Consider the following 19,183-nt stretch of genomic DNA (forward strand, 5'->3'; position numbering starts at 1 on the left):
AATGGGGCCTGGTAGATTTAAGGGGCCTTGACATATGCTGGCAGACCAGATAGATCAGGTTTTTGGGTTGGTTTTTTTTTTTTTTTTTTTTTTTTGAGACAAGGTCTTGCTCTGTCACCCAGACTGGAGTGCAGTGGCACAATCATGGCTCACTGCAGCCTTGGCCTCCTGGGCTCAAGGGATCCTCCCACCTCAGCCTCCAGAGTAGCTGGGATTACAAGTGCATGCCACGATGCCCAGGTAATTTTAAATTTTAAATTTTTAAAGTTTAAAAATTTTAAAAATAGAGATGGGGTCTCACTTTGTTGACCAGGCTGGTCTTTAACTCCTGGCCCCAAGTGATCCTCCTTCCTCGGCCTCTCAAAGTGTTGGGATTACAGGCGTGAGCCACCATGCCTGGCCACCTTTAAAATATATCCTTTATTCTATATCTGTATATAGTTTTATTCTATTTTTATTCCTGTCCATATATTTTTATTAGATTTTAGGGTTAGCATTTAGATTAGCATTTTAGTAGGGAGATGATGGGGGCAGCAGAAGTCTCAGTCTAACAGTGGAAATTCAGGCAGAATGACTATGGTGAGGGAGAAATCTAGAATTATAAGTATATCGAATAGTTCTGTGGCAAGTCTACCTCAACCCTAAAAATTGCTCTGTGGTTTTTCAGATTCCCACCCTACATCCACAGCCTTACGTAAAAGCATTGAGAAAAACTTCCAACTTCTCATACTTTCTCTATCTCTCTTCTTCCTTTTGCTCTCTTTCTAATGGTTCTTGGGAAACTAGCGGCCTCTCTGCAGCCCCTCCCTGCCCCTGCCTCAATCACTCCCCTGCCCACCTGCCTACGGGGCCCTGACACGTGCTCTGCTTTGCACAGGTTTGACCTGCAGCTGGCCCAGGCCCTAGGTGAGTCAGTGTTTGAGAAGGGTCTCCGTGAGAAAGTGACCCAGGAGAACACCAGTGTCCGGTGGGAGCTAGGCCAGCTTCAGCAGCAGCTGAAGGTAAGGGATGGGGGACACAGAGCTATCTTGGCTCTTGGTGGCTAAATCTCGGGAAACTGCATCGTGCACCTGCTGCAAATGGTGACAGAGAGAAAACTTCACAAGGGTATCCTGGTCTGTCAAGCAGCTGAATCCCAGTGTGTCTTAATAAAATAGCAAATGGTGGCTGGTAAATTGATAATCAGACTTTGAGCAAGATTGATGTCTTGATCTTGCTTCAGTTACCTGCACAGGTTCCGAGGTGCTTACCTGGGAGGTATAACAGGCTCAGCAGAGAATGAGTTAGCTATAACCTTGTCCAGGAGCAATGTCCTGGTCCAAGCAGGCTCCAATGCAGAGAGATTTTACTAAAATACAACACGGGTGCCTCACTCAGCTGCTCCTCATCCTTTTGTGGTTCTCTACTACTCGCAGGAGAACCTCTGAGCGCTTTAGCCTGGCGTTCAACTCCTTCACGATCTGGCCCAAAGTTATTTGATCCTGGAGCTGACTTTGTAACCTGGAAGAGTCATTTCTGAGCACTTTGCCTCCCTGCTCCAACATCTCAATCCCAGCCTCAGACGGCACACAGGGAAGCTTTAGCTGTGTGCCTCCACTTCCCTTACAAATGGGGTCAACCCTTCCTGTAGGTGCTCTGAGATCGAACTCTAGGGACAATTTATTCCAATCCTACCTCCCACCCCCAACTCCATGCCTGTAGGAGCTATACCAAGAGCAGCCCTTGCTGGTGTCCCACAGGGGGCGCTGTGAGGGACGGTGGGGTCCAGGTGGAAATGGCAGGCATTGGAAAGTGGAAAACGCCACTCCAGCCCCAGTTGGTTGTAGAGGTATCCCTGGGGGAGGAGGGAGGCATACTCATGTGACTCCAGATCTCTGTCCTCTTTGTCTCTGTAGCAAAAGGAGCAGGAAGCCTCACAGCTGAAGCAGCAGGTGGAGATGCTACAGGACCATAAACGGGAGCTGCTGGGGTCACCCTCTCTGGGGGAAAATTGCGTTGCTGGCTTGAAGGAGAGGCTCTGGAAGTTGGAATCCAGCGCCCTTGAGCAACAGAAAATCCAGAGCCAGCAGGAAAACACCATCAAGCAGCTGGAGCAGGTAGGAAAGCCCTGTCTCAGGGCAACACCCTGTCCCATGTCTCCAATGCAGAGTGATGTTATTAAAATACAATGTGGGTGCCTCACTTGGCTGCTCCTCATCCTTCAATGGCTCCCTATTATCCCAGGGAACCTTTAAGCTCCTAAGTCTGACATTCAGATCCTTCCTGATCCAGCTCTCCCCTGCAAGGTTCAGTGTCACCTCCTCAGAGAAGCCTGCCTTAATCATCTTGCAAATAGCTCCCACTAGGTTGCATTCATTTCCCATCTCCTTAGCTGGGTTGCTTTACTCTCTGGTACCTGCCATCGTATTAGATAGTATTTTTTAAAAGTTTGCTTTATGCCTTTCTCTCTCATTAACATATAAGCTTCATGAAGTCAGATTGTTTTTCTCTTTCTCTTGCTTCTTAGTGCAATCCTAGAGCCTAGAATGAGGCCAGGTACATAGCTGATGCTCAATAAATAGCTGTTGACCAAATATCTAACATTCATTGAGTACTGTCTGTATACTAACCTCAGCCCTAAGCTCTCCCCACACATCTCACGAATCTCCACATGAACCTTATGTAGGGAGATCTTAGTATTATCCCCACTTTACGGATGTAGAAGTTGAGACTCAGAGACATGGAGAAAGTATCAGGGATGGGATTTGGAACCTGTGTCATCTGACCCCACACTGCCTCGAATGTCTGCTATGTGCTAGGCATTGTGCACAGCTTCGGGGCAGATTGAAGTGCTACTCTTTGGGGAAAATAAAATAACAAAGGGAATAAGACAAAAATATCAAATACTCTTGTACCAGTACCCTCTGCAAAGTACCAGATGAATACTTTATTTGTCTGCTTGCTTATTTATGTACTTACTTATTTACCTCATTCTATAAATAATTTGAGGCAGCTTACAAGATACATGTATAATAGAACACAAAAATTGTAAATAAAACAATCCAAACCACAAAAGTACAAAATAAAATAGACACTAAGGAGGAGGGTGGGGGCAGTGAATTAATAGGCAGATAAAGCATAACATATGGTCTTACACACATAATAATTTTAGCTCTAAAATTCCTGGTGGCCAGAAAGAAAAAGGAAATGTGAGTTACATGCCTGAGATAAAAAAAAAAAAAAAATTTCTAGGGGAAGTAAGACTTCTTCTGATGCTTGGCTCTAAACGAATTTCTCTTGTGGGATTTTGTAAAAGGCAATTATTTTAAAGTGTTTTTTTTAAAAAAAATGCTGAGGCCACCGTTATGCGAGAAAATGTGACCAGGTGTCATGAATGTGTAAAGCAGATGAACTCTGAGCAGCTCTGTTGAACTGAAGTGGGGATGGGTGGGACAGGGGATGGGGGAACCAGGGGTCAGCTCTTGCTTCTTGCTAACCACTGCTCCAACAAGATGGAGCCTGGTGAGTATCAAGACATGTGGGTGGTGGGTGTTGGGGAACAAGATCCAGGAAGTCTTGGATGCTCACTAAGGAGCGATAAGGAAGACAAGTCTTTTACTCAGTCAGCCTGTATTTATTAAGTACCTCCTCTGCATCATGCACTCTGTGGATGCTGAGGGTGCAATTGCAAATAAGACAGACACAATCTCTGCCCTCCCAAAGTTTATAGTCATGCTTAGTGTTAGGGGAATGTTGAACTTGAAGATCTGGTCGTGACAGCAGGGTTGGGGGAGAGATCGGGGAAAACTTCCTGGAGGAAGTGATATTTACTGAAGAGGGAAGCTGGAGGATGAATCAGAATTGGCTGAATGAGAGAGTTCTAGGCAGGGGACCAGCCTGTGCAAAAGCCTGAAGACAGACAGGATAGTCGTAGGATATTCAAGGAGCTGTAATACGGGGTCTTTGAGGCAGCTTGTTGCCTGTATGACCTTAGGCAAGCCCCTGTTTTCTCCAGACATCAGTCTCCTTATCTGTACAATCAAATATGGAGCCTTATCTCTCCCCTAGCTTCCTGCCAACCACAGCTATGAATCAGTGAAGGTTTGTGAAGAAGGTGGAATATCTGTGTAGGTCTTTAAAGGGCATGGATGACGGTGCAGTGCCATGTAGCACCCCAGTGTTCCTTGTGTTCCTTAAATGAGCAGGATCTTCACAGAGCCAAGAATAAAACAAGCCCTCTTGAAAACTGTGTTAACTCTTTAAGATACCACTGGGGGACCACTTAGTGCTCGGAAGCAAAAATGTATTACCATGGCCTCAGGGACCCAAAACTTAATGCAGCTGCCTGAATTTCCATGCTCAGTTCACCCAGGAGATGAGGCTGACTCAACACTTTCATCCGTCTTCAGCTTCACCCATAACCTCAGGCTGCATTGTGCCCTTGTAGACATCCAGTGGATATTTATTGATTATAATACAACACTTTTTCCAGGGAATTTTATGTTAACTCGTATAAGTTTGACATAAATGGTATTGCAGATGTCAAGAATGTCCAAGAGGCTAGAAAAAATGAAAAAGAAATATTATAGTTACTTGCTCAGGCTCCTTGGTTTTGGATTATCTTCCCACAACCCCTGTCATTTTAAAGGAAAAAAAGGCAAGAAGTTGACATTTAAAGTGAGCCTACTTTATGCCAGAAACTGTAACAGGGCCTCTGACGTACACTATCCTTTTGCTCCTCACCACGGCATAGCAGGGAATATTATCAACATTTTAAAAGACCCAGATTGTTTTTTTCTGTCCATGTTGGGGACAGCACTTGTTAAGTTCCAAAAGCTTGATGAGAGGTGCTGGGACAGTAGAGTAAATGATCAGAAAGTTATCATTTCTACAATGTAACCCATTGTATTAGTCTGTTTTCACACTGCTGTGAAGAACTGCCTGAGACTGGGTAATTTATGCAAAAAAGAGGTTTAATTGACTCACAGTTCCACATGGCTGGGGAGGCCTCAGGAAACTTACAGTCACGGTGGAAGGGGAAGCAGGCAAGTCTTACATGGTGGCTGGCAAGAGAGAGTGTGTGAAGCAGGAGCAGTCACGTATAAAACCATCATATCTTAAGAAAACTCATTCACTATCATGAGAAAAGCACAAGGGAAACCACCCCCTGTGATCCAATCACCTCCCACCAGGTCCTTCCCTTGACCTGTGGGAATTATGGGAATTAAAATTCAAAATGAGATTTGGGTGGGGACACAGAGCCTAACCATATCACCCATCTACGCTATTGAGTTCCAAATGCTTTTTCATGATCCAGTAACATTAAAGAGTATAGACAGATAAAGGAAAGCTTCAAAGCTTTCTTGGGCCCTGTACCCTGGGGATTCTAATCCAGTAGGTCTAGGGTGAAGCCCTGCAATTTGTATGTTTTAAAAATGCGTTTGTAATTCTAACGTGCCACAAAATTTGAGAAGCCAGGGCTTGGGCCAATCTGTAAATCATGCAGATCAGGAAAGTGAAGTCTTGAACTAGACCTAGAACTCATGACTTTTTTGCCTTCCACTCTAGAACCCTTTATACGACTTCACACAGTTCCAACATTATGCACGGCTCTATGCCTGTTGCATGTGTTTTGGAGGTTCTTGTTTGAAAGACCCAGCTCATTCATGGGATCACAGCTCTTAATTATGTCAGGTTGCCAGGGAGGGAGGGGATAGTCTTTTCTGTTTTCGAAATAATGGGGAAAGAGAAAGTAATATTTATGTATCAGATACTGTGCTAGGTGCTTTATATCATCATTTAATTCTCATAGTAGCATTCTAAGACGGTTGTTTTCTACAGAGAAAGGGGACTGACCTAGAGGTAAAGTGAATTGTCTCAGATAACATTTTGGGCAAATCATCTTCTTTTCCAGGCTTTCATGTCTTCATACACTTTTGTCCTACCATTCATCTACCTATCCACTCACCCAGAAAACCATCGCTGTTGCCTGCTCCAGGAATGAGAAATATGTTTCATCTTAAGAGTGTTGAGAAGGGGGCCGGGCCCGGTGGCTCACACCTATAATCCCAGCACTTTGGGAGGCTGAGGCGGGTGGATCACCTGAGGTCAGGAGTTTGAGATCATCTTGATCAACATGGAGAAACTCCGTTTCTACTAAAATACAAAAATTAGCCAGGTGTGGTGGCACATGCCTGTAATCCCAGCTACTTGGGAGGCTGAGCAGGAGAATCGCTTAAAGCCAGGAGGTGGAGGTTGTGGTGAGCCGAGATTGCGCCGTGGCACTCCAGCCTAGGCAACAAGAGGGAAACTCCATCTCAAAAAAAAAAAAAAAAAGAGTGTTGAGAAGGATTCTGAGGCTGCTTCTAAACTCAGTGGGAAAGTGTGATTGATGAGTGATGTCTGTTATAAGCACAAGAATGGATAGAGGCAATATTTAATCTATTTACCCACCATTTGTGATCTTCCAGGATGCCTAGGGCAATAACTTGACTCTCATTTATGTATTCCAAAAATGAGAAATGCAATTGGAATGCCAAGGATGACATGGAGGGCTTGGAGAGTTAGAGTGGGTCACCCTCACGTGCTGTCCTTGCTGCCCCCGCAGCTCCGCCAGCGGTTTGAGCTGGAGATCGAGCGGATGAAGCAGATGCACCAGAAGGACCGTGAGGACCAGGAGGAGGAACTGGAGGATGTCCGTCAGTCCTGCCAGAAGCGGGTACGTGAGCAGTGAACACAGCTGTGCCCTTGGATCCTGGCAGGTCTGGCATGGATTCCCTCTTCCTTAGAGCGAGGAGTAGGACAGGGTCTGGGATCTGGGGACAAGCTCTTTCTGCAATCATCTGAGACCTTAGCTTCGAAGTGACTTCAAAGGTGTAGGAGCGGAAATGCCCATCTTAAATATGATCTTGGAACTTCCAGAAGCCTCTGGAACTGTCCAGCATAATGGCTCAGAGATTTCTACTAAGTCCCCGTAATGCCATGTGACTGATGCCAAGGACTTGTAAATTTCAATAATAGAACCAATTCTTTCTTACTATTTTCTTTACAAGTCAAATCATTTCTTAACATTTTATCCAAAGTCTTTGTAGCCATTCCGAACAGTGTGTAAGAAAGCAATAACCCCTTGACATGTTATCACCTAGAAGCCATCATTATTACTATTTTAAGTGTTCTTTTATAGCTCTCTTTCACTCTCTGTACACACATGCAGATTTGCAGAGATATCATTTTCACTAAATGAGGCCATGTGGTTCTGAAGCCTGTTGTCTCTGCAGTTTGTCATGGCCTCTTTTCATGTCTGTAAATACAGATCTAACTTATATGTTTAATGGCTTAACAGTTTTTCACCCAAAGCTTATCCTCTAACTTATACAGTAAATCCCCTATCACTGGACATTAGGTTGTTTCTAGTTTTCTGCCCTTATAACCAGTGCCGAGATAAACATTCTTAGAGCTGTATTGATGGATTTGAATGTAGGATCTTCAAAGTGGAATTGCTGGAAAGCTTCGGGTTAAGCCTCGTTTAACAGGTTCTCACATGTACTCTATAAGACCTTCCCTCCCTTCTCGTCCCCTGAATCATACCTATGTACAGAATACACTCAATTTTGCCTTGCTTGATATATAGTTTTGTTATTTTGTGTGTTTTTCAAGATGGGTTTTAGCTTTTCCAGTCTTTATTCTAAAAACAGATATAAAGAGAGCGCCTTGTATTTCTCTCCATCCTAAACGAAATTTCTGAAACGAACTTGCTTTCTATAGAAGTGACCATCACTCAGTACTTTTTCCCCCTCCATGGGTCAGGAGATGGAATCTCTCAGTCCCTGCCCATATTCCTTCAGGTGAAGATTGCACACATTTCTGGTTTATTCTAAGAATGCCTCAAAGTATGGTGTGTGCCCTGAGCCAGGGCTCCAGTGAGTTGGAGATGTGACCCAGACTCTCCTGAGGCTTTTCTCTGGATAGATTTATAAAAGGAGAGAGTGAAGTCAGAGAACGGTGTTTTTCTCCTTATAACAAATACTGATATTGACTTCTCATTCTGGTGACTGCTCTGTTCAGTCTATCTCTCACGTTGGCAGGAAATCAATAGTTAGTGACCTGGGTGGGAATGCTGGGGCTGTCTGGGGTGGCAGAAAGAGCTGGGGTCAGGAGAGAGGACACTAACTCCTCTAAACAGCAACTAATTGCAGAGTATGCACTTCGGATTTTCCCTGGGTCTTAGTTTGCCCACCCGTGAAATAGGATCTCTGATGGCATGAGGTGGAAATGGAGGATGGATAATATATACAAGAGAGGCTGGTGGGGGTGGTCTGCAAAGCACAGCCACAGTAGGGTGTTTGCTCTAGTGGGGAATGTCTGTGTTTGCTGGGTAATTGCTGAGAAATCAGAGCCAGTTGCAAATTAAATGAGTCGCTCATAGTCAGATGTCTGAGTTCAGGCTGCTGTAGCAGAATATTATTGTCTAGGTGGCTTAAATGATAACATTTATTTATCACAGTTCTGGAGGCTGGGAAATCTGAGATCAAGGTGCTGGCAGATTCAGTGTCTGGCGAGGGCTGTCTTCCTGGCTTGCAGACCACCACCTCCTGTTTGTACGCTCATGTGGTGGAGAAAGAGAGTGGAAGACAGCTTTCTGGTGTCTTCAGGCACTCACCCCACCATGAAAGCTCTACCTTCATGGCCTCATTTAAACCTAATTACTTCCCTAAGGCCCCACCTCCAGATACCACTGCACTGAGGGTTAGGGTTTCACCATATGAATTGTGGAGGGACACATATAGTTTATAACACCAAAAAATCTCAAATGCAACTTTTTTACTGCATCATTGTGTATTTAATAATGGAGGGGATGCATTTTTGATATGTTGGTTATAATATTGTTCAGAGCCTTTAAAAATCAAAGTGCAAAGGTTTGCAAATATTCAGCAGTGGCCATGGCTGCAGGAGAGAGGCATCTCTTCTACTGGGGACCTGGGGGAGGGGGTTTCACAGTCAAGGGCAAGGGGTTCCCCATCATTGACCAGCCCTCCCTACTGTTGTCCAGCTCCCAAGCTTTTAGGCTCTTAAATTCTCCCACAGAGACACTACCACCCAATCACTAGGGCAGCCTCATGGAACAAAGCCACAAGCTCTACATTCCTCCGCCTTCTGAGGGTCCTTGCCTTGTAGGATGTGTCTGGATGGAGTTCATTTACCCTGTGATGTTTCTTCCCTGTGTATCCACAGCTTCATCAGCTGGAAATGCAGCTGGAGCAAGAGTATGAAGAGAAGCAGATGGTCCTCCATGAGAAGCAAGATTTGGAAGGCTTGATCGGAACCCTCTGTGACCAGGTAAGGGGGAGACATTGGCAGACATTCAGAGGAGTATCTCAGGGACCTATTTGAGAGATGGGCTCATGGAGAGAACAGCCTGAGGGATACCCTCTCCTCCATCAGCTCTGTTCCCACCATATTCACTGGCTCTTCAAAGGAGACCTTCAGGTGCCTGCAAACAGCAGGGTTTTTGTAAGAACCCATGGGGAATAAAGAGAGTGGGGCCAGCCAGGAGCAATGGATGAGGCTGTCTTTGCCTTCAGCAGCTGTTGGGATCAGAGTCCACCAGACAGTCCTTCCTTTAAGGGGATGTATGTGAATGGCCACTGCACACATGACTGCCCTCCTGAGAACATGACTTTTGCTAGAAGCAGTCAGCCTTGGAGCCAGGCAAATGTAGCTTTAAGCTCCAGAGGGACCACTTCTGTCTGCACGGCTTTGAGTGAGCTAGTTAACAGCTCTGAGCTTCTGGAGAGTGGAGCCTTATGGGGTTGTGGCTATCACTGTACACCAGGGTTCTCGACTGTCCATCAGTGTACACCAGGGTCCTCAACTGCATCACTATGAACATTTGGAGCTGGATCATTCCTTGTGGTAGAGGGCTGTCCTGTACATTGCGGGATATCACGCAGCATCCCTGACCTCTACCCACCACATTGCAGTAGCCCACACCTCAGTTGTGACGACCAAAAATTTCTACAGACATTGCCCAATGTCCTTTGGGGAAAAAAAATCAACTTCCCTCACTACTGAGAACTGTTGCTGTACTAATGTAGCCAGCAGAGCTCAGAGGCAGCTTCCGATTTCAGAGTTGCAAGGAATGACTCTTCCACCTCCTAGATACTCTATTCCCTTCCTGTGCTGCTGCTGCATGAAATCCCAACACGGGAGAGAAATGCCTGTGGCTTCTATGATTTATTTTAAAGTATCAAAGGAGTGTATTTTAATGTATTTGCTTAACATGGGTTCGATGTCTATTAATTAGTAATGGTCTTGTTATCAATATCCTTCCCTAAATTCATTAACTTTATTCACAAAACAATGTGGGTGCACTTCAGGTGATCATCTTGGGCAGCCATGCCTTGGACAAAATAAATGCTTATTATGTATTAAAAAACAAATTGATTTAATGAGTGAATTCCACAGCAGGGACACACGCGGCAAGAGTAAGAGTTGGAAGCTGAGGGAGTCAATATAATCTTCCTTCTTCTCTGGGTTTTCTAATTTTCCAGCCAAACAATTGAGACCATTGAATTCAGAGCCATTGAGGTGACTTTCCTTCAGCATCAGGGCAAGAGAGCACAGCCCAGTACCAGATTCTAGAATGATAGAGGGGAATCACTGCGAGAAGGTTGCATTCTATTCAGCATAGTCTGAGAAAACAGAATAGATAATCTAGTAAAGCAAGGTTTTTATACAAATTGCAAAAATAAATTTTACATGTAAAGAGAAGGTAAGTTTAAATGAATAAAAAGCCATCTTTGTGTTAGTCACCAAGTTGGATCCTTTTAATAAATTAGCACTTTTGATGATTTTAAATGTTTTTGTTATGACCTTTGCCAAACCCATGGAAAAGCAGAACAAATAATGTAATCGGTGTTTATGAACCAAGCACTCAGGGTTCACATAAATTAACATTTTGCCATTTCTTATTCAGATGTTTTTAAGGAAACAAAACGTTTTAAGAACGGTTGGTGGCCTCTTTATGTCGCTTCCTAATCTCAATCCTGGCTCTGCTTTTCTCTTTCTTTCCTCCCTCCCCAGATGAAACCATTCCCCGGGGTTTGAGGTGTATAATTCCCCTGAATGTATATTTCAACTTCAGCCACATGCAGCAATATGATTCTGCACTTTACTTTGTCCCCCTCTATGTTATGTTTTTGAGATTAGTCTATAATGATACATGCAGTTCTAATTAATTCATTTCATTTCTACACAGCATTCATTTTTTTAAAATCTCCTACTTCTATTGGTGGGTAGTTAGTTACTTCCACCCTAAAACCCCAAACTGCAGTGCATAGTCTCGTATCTGCCTCACTGTGCACACGGGCGAGTGTCTCTCCAGGGTATGTAGCTGGAAGAAGAATTGCTGGCTCCTGGGAATGTACAATTTGGGAATTATTAAATATCGCTCAGATTATTCCCCAAAGTGATTGCAGCAGTTTCCATCGTCACTAGCCGTGTCTGAAATTTTACTTCTTCATGTCCCCACCAACATGTGGCACTGTCAGACATTTTTAAACATTTTTTCCAGGCATCGGGTGCTAAATGGTATTGCGTGGCCCTCCACAGGGATGCTGTGCATTTTTCACATGTTGATTGTGGCTTTTTCTTTTCTTTTCTTTTTTTGAGACGGAGTCTCGCTCTGCCTCCCAGGCTGGAGTGCAGTGGTGTGATCTGGGCTCACTGCAAGCTCCGCTTCCTGGGTTCATGCCATTTTCCTGCCTCAGCCTCCTGAGTAGCTGGGACTACAGGCGCCCGCCACCACGCCTGGCTAATTTTTTTGTGTGTATTTTTAGTAGAGACACAGTTTCACCGTGTTAGCCAGGATGGTTTCGATCTCGTGACCTCGTGATCCACCCGCCTTGGCCTCCCAAAGTGCTGGGATTACAGGCGTGAGCCATCGTGCCTGGCCGATTGTGGCTTTTTCTTATGTGAATTGCCTATTCATAGAAGTTTGTCTCCTTTTTCTCTATTGATCATTCATGATCTTTATACAAGATGCGAATCCATTTTTGGTTACGTATTTTGCAAATATCTCCTACACTATGGATAATTGTTTCACTTTGTTTATAATGTCCTTAGCTTAATAAAAAATATTTTTAATACAGTCGTGTTAATCAAGCATGTTTTATGGTTTGCGCTTTTATATCTTAAGATACTGTTCTTTGAGTTCACAAAAATGTCATCATGTGTCTTAAAAGTTCTAAAGTATTGCTTTTGACATTTTTAGGTCTCTAATCCATCTAGATTTTATTGGGGTGCATAGTGTGAGGTAGGAATCTATCTTCCTCAATATGGATAAACTATGTTTTAGTTCATAATTTTTTTCCTGCAATTACCATGTATGCCTGGGTGTGTTTATGAACTCCTCATTGTGGCTCATTGGGTTTTTTTTTGTCTATTTCTCCACCATATGGTCTTCATGGCTGGGTTTTGATAACTCGTAGGACAGCTTACCTTGACTGTTTTTAAAATTGCCTGTTTTATTGACCCTTTAATCTTCTTATTTAGGTTCTACAACAAAACCTGATGTAATTTTTATTGGAATTGCATTGATTTACAAGTTAGTTGGGAACAATTGACTTTTTTTATATTGAACTATTATATTATTGCATATGCCCTCTCCATTTATTTGTGGCTTTCAGTAATGTTTTATTATATTTTTCTATACAGATCTTGGACTTTTTTGTTAGATTTATTTTCAAGAAACTTGTAGTTTCTATGGCTATTATGAATAGAATATTTTTCTGTATTCTATCTATATTTCAACTAGTTATTGTGGCATATGGGAATACCATTGATTATCATGCATTAATCTTGTATCTAGCAAACTTCCTGAACGTTTATTATCTTTCATACTTCATCTGTAGGCTTTTTTGTATTTTCTGCCTTGACAATCTTATCATTTGAAAATAAGAATAGTTTTGACTCTTTTTTTTTTTTTTTTTTTTTTTTTTTTGAGATGGAGTCTCGCTCTGTCGCCCAGGATGAAGTGCAGCGGCGCGATCTCAGCTCACTGCAAGCTCCACCTCCTGGGTTCACGCTATTCTCCTGCCTCAGCCTCCCGAGTAACTGGGACTACAGGCGCCTGCCACCATGCCTGGCTAATTTTTTTGTATTTTTCATAGAGATGGGGTTTCACTGTGTTAGCCAGGATGGTCTCTGTCTCCTGACCTCGTGATCCACCCACCTCGGCCTCCCAAAGTGCTGGGATTACAGGCATGAAACACCGCGCCCGGCCAGTTTTGACTCTTGACCATGGATTGGGGCAACAAAGATCTCAACAAATTTAAAAAAAAAAATGTTATACTTTCTACTTCTTGTTTCTTTTTCTTACCTTATTTCATTTGCCTCCAGTATAAGATTGAATGGTAGAGAAAGATATTTGACATCCTTTTCTTGTTCCTGACCTTAATAGGAGTGCTTGTAAAGTTTTGTGATACACATATTTGCAGTGTCTTTGATAATTACAGTGATGGATTGCTTAGTGACAGGGATACTTTCTGAGAGATGCATCATTAGACAATTTCATCATTGTGGGAACATCCTAGAGTGCACTCACACAAACCTAAACGGGATAGCCTTCTACATGCCTAAGCTATCTGATATAGTCTATTGCTCCTGGGCTACAGACCTGTACAGCATGTTACTGTACTGAATTTGGGAGGCAATTGTGACACAGTGGTAAGTATTTGTGTACCTAAACATATCTCAACATAGAAAAGGTACAGCAAAAGTATGGTATTATAAGCTTATGGGACCACCGTTGTATATACAATCCATCATTGATGGAAATGTAATGTGGCACGTGACTGTAACTTTAATAAGGTTAAATCAGTCTTGTATTTGTAATTTTCTAATATCTTAAAAAAAGATGTTTTATTATTGAATATTATATGTTTTTTCTGCAATTGTTGATAATCTGATGACTTGTCTCAATCTATCAATGTAGTATATTTTAGATACTTAAGGTATCCTGATATATTTCCCAGATAAACCTTTCTTAGTCATATGTTTTCAATACACAGCTCTTTCGGATTGCTAACAGTTTATTTAGGATTTTTGAAACCAGGCACATAAGTAAGATTGTTTTATAATTTTTTTCTCTTAGACTGTCTTTGTCAAGTGTTGTACTAATCTCATAAAATGAATTCACAACTATTTCTGAGACAATTTTTTGTAAAATTTGGATCATGCAGTTCTTGCAGATTAGATACAATTTGCTTGTAACCCTATTTGATTACTGTGTCAAAATGCTGTAATCATAATTGAACACAAATTCAGGTATTATTCTTTTCCTTATTGAGTGAACTTTGGTAACTAATGTTTCTAGACATTTATTATTTCATCTAATTTTTCAAATAGGTTGACATAAAAAATATTCATGGTATTTTCTCGTTATTTAAAAAATTCTACTGTATCAGATTATTTTCTTTTTAATCATAATAATGTTTACTTTTGAGTTATTTTGTGGTTGATGATGATTAGTCTTGTTAGAGTTTTGTCTGTAATCCCTTCAAATAACCTGCTTTTGTTTTATTGTTTCTTTGTTGTGTATTTAATAGTGTCTGACCTTATGTTTGTTTCTTTTTCCTTCTTTTTTCCATTGGTTTAGATTTTTGTTCTTGGTCTTCAGTTTTAGTATTAAAATGTTTAACTCACCTTCAATATTTTTTATCCCACTTAAACTGTTTTCTTTAAGATAATACATTTAAGATAATACATTTACCTGGAATTGCTGTTTTAGTGCCATCTACTAAGTGTCTTGTTGTATCTTTTGTTCTTTTTTTCTTTTAACCTGTAAGTTATCTAGAACTTGAGTTTCAAGTTTATTAACATTTAGGATGATTTGGAGTAACTTTCTATTGTTAATTTTTAATTTAATGGCATTTAGGACAGATAACATGGTAGAATGCATAACATCTTTTCTTTGAAATTGTTGAGATCTCTTTGTTGCTCTAGTTATTGGTAGAGTTTAATAAAGGATTGTGTGTGGCTGGGCACAGTGGCTCACGCCTGTAATCCCAGCACTTTGGGAGGCCAAGGTGGGCAGATCATTTGAGGTCAGGAGTTCGAGACCAGCCTGACCAACATGGTGAAACCCTGTCTCTGCTAAAAATATAAAAATTGGCCGGGTGTTGTGGCGGGCACCTGTAATCCCAGCTGCTCAGGGGGCTGAGGCATGAGAATCACTAGAACCCAGGAGGCAGAGGTTGTAGTGAGCCGAGATTGCGCCACTGCACTCCAGCCTGGGTGACAGAGCGAGACCTTGTCTCAAAAACAAAAAACAAAACAAACAAAGAAACAAAAATAAACTACTGAGTAGAAAATAATGTAACTGTTTATGAGGCACAGGGTTCAATACATGGCAAATGAATCAACCTTGTTAAATTTTTATTTCAACATTACATACGAATATAAAAGCATAAACCATAAAGGAAAAGTTTTAAAATACATGATTATGTATTTTTTAAAACTACCTCCTGTTAACTTTGGTTTTGAGTTCTTAATCTGTTTCTAAGAGAGTCCTGTTATATCCTTACCATGAGAATGGTTATACCAAAGTTTGTTAACAGTTCTGTCATAGTTTCTCTTTATGTATTTTATGGTTATATATTTAGGTGCATCTAAGTTTTGTATTGCTTTATTTTCTTGAAGATCATTGCTTCGATTCTTACTTGGTGTCTTTCTTTCTCCATGAATAAGTTTTGCCTTATTTTATTTCGCTTGATTTATTTTAGTCAGTTTACCTGCAAGACTTTTTCTATTTCATTTTAAAGCTTTGTAGGGGTGTGTGTGTGTGTGTGTGTGTGTGTGTGTGTGTGTATGCATGTTCATGTGTTTTCTTTAAACAGCTGGATAATTTTAATGCAATATTTTAGTCTCTAGCTTTTCATATAAAAATTTAATTTATTTACATTTGTTATAATGACTGATATATTTGAAACTATTTTGTGTTTTGTTAGTTTCTTGTCCCTTTACATTGCTCTCCCTCTATTGCTTTCCTACTTTTGGATAGATTGATGTTTTCTATGTTCTCTTTTGACCTATTGATTCAGAAGCTATAAACTCTATTTCTGTTCTTTTGGTGGTTACTCATACATTTCCAGATATATGCTTAATCATAATTTTTTACTAACATTAATTTTCACAGTAATGCTGTGGGATAGATATTATTATTTCCTTCATATAAATGAAAGAAGTGAGGCTCGGAAAAGTAAAGTAAAGCAACTTGCCCAGGATTGCATAGCAAGTTAGTACCCTAGGCGGATTCTAAATGAGGTCTATATTATTTGAATATCTGTCATTTTAAAAACCTATTATGATTCTGCTTAAAAGCGATAAGGTCCACTTAGCTAGAACCATATTTTTGTGCACCATCTTTTTTTCATAGTGTTCTCAGGCAGCCAGTTCTGCCATTAATTTGTGAAGCCCTCAGCAACACGCATTCTGTCTCCAAGCCTCAATTTCCCCATCTGTAAAGTGGTTTGGTTATCCCTAACGGCACTTCTAGACCATATTTTAATAGTGTTTGGAGATTCCTTTGACAATGGACATTTGACAAGCTCCCCAAACAATTTGCCTTTATGATAAATGGTGAACCAACTAAGGTTGGAATATAGTTACTCACAACAACACTAAACATCATGTAGATTTATTAGTTAATTATTCACCATCTTTATCAAAGTTTGAATCTTTGTGCTTTAAAAGGGAAACTCGCAGAATGACATTTATTTCCCATTAACCTAATGAGTGATATTTTTTGCCCTCCTCTCTGTAGCAATTTGTTATAAATGGGAGGATGACTGGTCTGAGATTTTCTTGTGAATTCTGTTTGCAGTGCTTCCTCTGGAAAGGAGTTAGTGCCAGCATTTTCAGGGCCTTTCAGGCAGTGAAGATCGTAGAATCTGAGCCATCTCTACTGCATGGTCAGTGTCAACATCAGGGAATGTCCCTGATGCTAACTCGCCCCACAGGAGAATTAAAGGCACTTTAGGATATATGCAAAACAAAAACAGACACAAATATAAGAAATGTGCAAAGCCCACTGCCTAAGCATACTCATGAGTCTGGGTTCTAGAGTAAGTAAATCTGAGTTTATGAAGCAGCTCCACTAGGCACTGTGGTGCAGTAGTTACAGACTTACATCCTAATGCTGAGCTGTCTGGATTCAGATCTCTGCACAGCCACTTAGTAGCAATATGACATTGGGCAGATCATTTGCTCTTTCATATCAGTTGTTCCTCCATGTAAGAGCCCTGGATAACCTCTTTCACTTTGTAACCTGCCCCTCAACTCGGGGTTTTATACCCTCATGGCAACCACCCCGAAATGCATAGCCCAGATTATTTCTTGCCTCTCCGCCTTTGCTCATTAAGTGCTTTCTACCTAAAATGCTCTTCCTCCACCTCCCCTAGCTAGGAGTAGCTACCTCCTACTTCCCAATTCCATCCCAGCCTGAGCTGGGTAATGCTCTTCTGTGCCCCCATAATATATATTTTTTCAGAATTAAAGACTAAAACACACCTATCTAATGTTATATTTTACTAAAATTACCACTTTCCAGCCAGAAAAGCTGGATTCATATTCCAACTCTGCCACTTACTAGCTGTGTGATCTGAGGCAAATTACTTCATCTTTGCATACTTCAGTTTCATTATCTGTAAAATGGGAATCATAATACTATACACCTCATTGATTCATCATGATGACTAAATGCATCAATAGCTATAAAGTGTTTAGAATAGTATATGACACTTAAAACTGTCTATAAATGTAAGCTATTACTACATTTGTAAAGGCAATAATAATAAGGTCTATTTAAGGAGATTGTCACAGGAGTTAAATGCAATAACGTGACAAAGAGCCTGGCACAATGCCCAGCCCTTAACTCAGTTCAGCAGGTGAGATTGTGTGTGTGTATGTGTGTGTGTGTGTGTGTGTGTGTGTGTGTATAATAGAACAGCATTTTGAACCTACCAAAACAATACATTTCAGATATAAAGACCGTATTCTGAGAACCAACTCGTTTTTCAAAGAACTCAAAACCAGCAGTAGAGAAATAGAAATACAAAATCTAGAGGAACACATTCGAGGTCTTCAGACAATACTCATAATCCTTTATATTTGCAAAGCACTCAACAGCTTACAAAGTGCTTTGGAATCCATTATCACATCTGATCCTTGTCTTATCTCAACACGAAGGATAGGGTGTTTTTTTTAACCTCTCTTTTTGTGGATGAGAAAACTCAGGTTCAGAGATGTGGCGTGACTCAGCCACTGCTCCATCATCAGCAAATGGTGAGCCAGGGTTTAAAGCCTAGATCTGCTCATTCTCAACCCCATGTTTTTTCTAGAATATTCCAGGACATTCTGAGCATCCCAGGAAATGGTTAGCATTTCATGTGGAGACACAGATTTCCAGGTGTGTAAAAACCACATCCCAGTGTTGAGGCATCTGCACCCTGTTTTCCTTGAAACTCCCCATCTGATGGACAGGCCCGTATTGTATCGTCTGGTCTCCTGAAGAGTCCAAGAAGGGAGTTGTTAGTTTCTTTCAGAGATGTTAACACGTTGTCTTTTAAGTCAGCACTATTTCTAGAGAGGTGACCAGCTGTCGAAATTTCATGTAGGGCCCTGGTGTAATTCTGCACCTCTTCTGTTTTGGCTTAACCTGTACTTTTTGGCCACTGAAGGCTGTCAAGGAGTCTAAGGTCACACTCCTGGTGCCCAGTCCAGGATGCGGCTTCTTTGGGACTCCCTTGACAGCTGTCCCTGGCAAATTCAAGATTCTGGGGGAAGGAATGTACTCACCTCTGGGTAAGGTTCCTCTGCAGAAAATGATCTCATTTGTTTGTCCTCCAACTGGAAAAGAGGACCAAAGGACAGAAAGGATTGACTTCAAAAGGAGCACATTTACAATTTACTGAGGTGTAACACAAATACAGAGTACTCCGTATCCCACGTGTACAGCTCAGTGAATTTTCATAAACTCATAAAACAACACCCAGATCAATAACATTAATAACTCTCCAGAAGTCCAGAGGCTCTGTCCAGTCCCTGCCCACCCAGGACTGTCCTAACTGCTGTCAGCAGAACCTGGCCAGCAGCAGAGGGATTCACCTGGCACATGAGGCTCTTACAAGATGAGGTGAGGTCACAC

The 19,183-nt window shown here is 41.5% G+C and overlaps 1 protein-coding gene across 14 annotated transcripts in view; it reads left to right on the forward strand.

The window, feature by feature from the left end:
• Nucleotides 1-19,183, forward strand: part of MYO18B (myosin XVIIIB) — a 321,660-nt gene that overhangs the window by 159,548 nt on the left and 142,929 nt on the right. For all 14 annotated transcript variants that reach the window (XM_011530461.3, XM_011530458.3, XM_017029014.2 and 11 more), the window contains 4 exons: nucleotides 878-1,001; nucleotides 1,896-2,096; nucleotides 6,587-6,697; nucleotides 9,211-9,315. In XM_011530461.3, coding sequence (XP_011528763.1) covers nucleotides 878-1,001; nucleotides 1,896-2,096; nucleotides 6,587-6,697; nucleotides 9,211-9,315 — 541 coding nt within the window. The remainder of the gene's footprint in view (nucleotides 1-877; nucleotides 1,002-1,895; nucleotides 2,097-6,586; nucleotides 6,698-9,210; nucleotides 9,316-19,183) is intronic.

Source organism: Homo sapiens, chromosome 22 (assembly GCF_000001405.40).
Source record: "Homo sapiens chromosome 22, GRCh38.p14 Primary Assembly".
NCBI classification, from domain to species: Eukaryota; Metazoa; Chordata; class Mammalia; order Primates; family Hominidae; genus Homo; species Homo sapiens.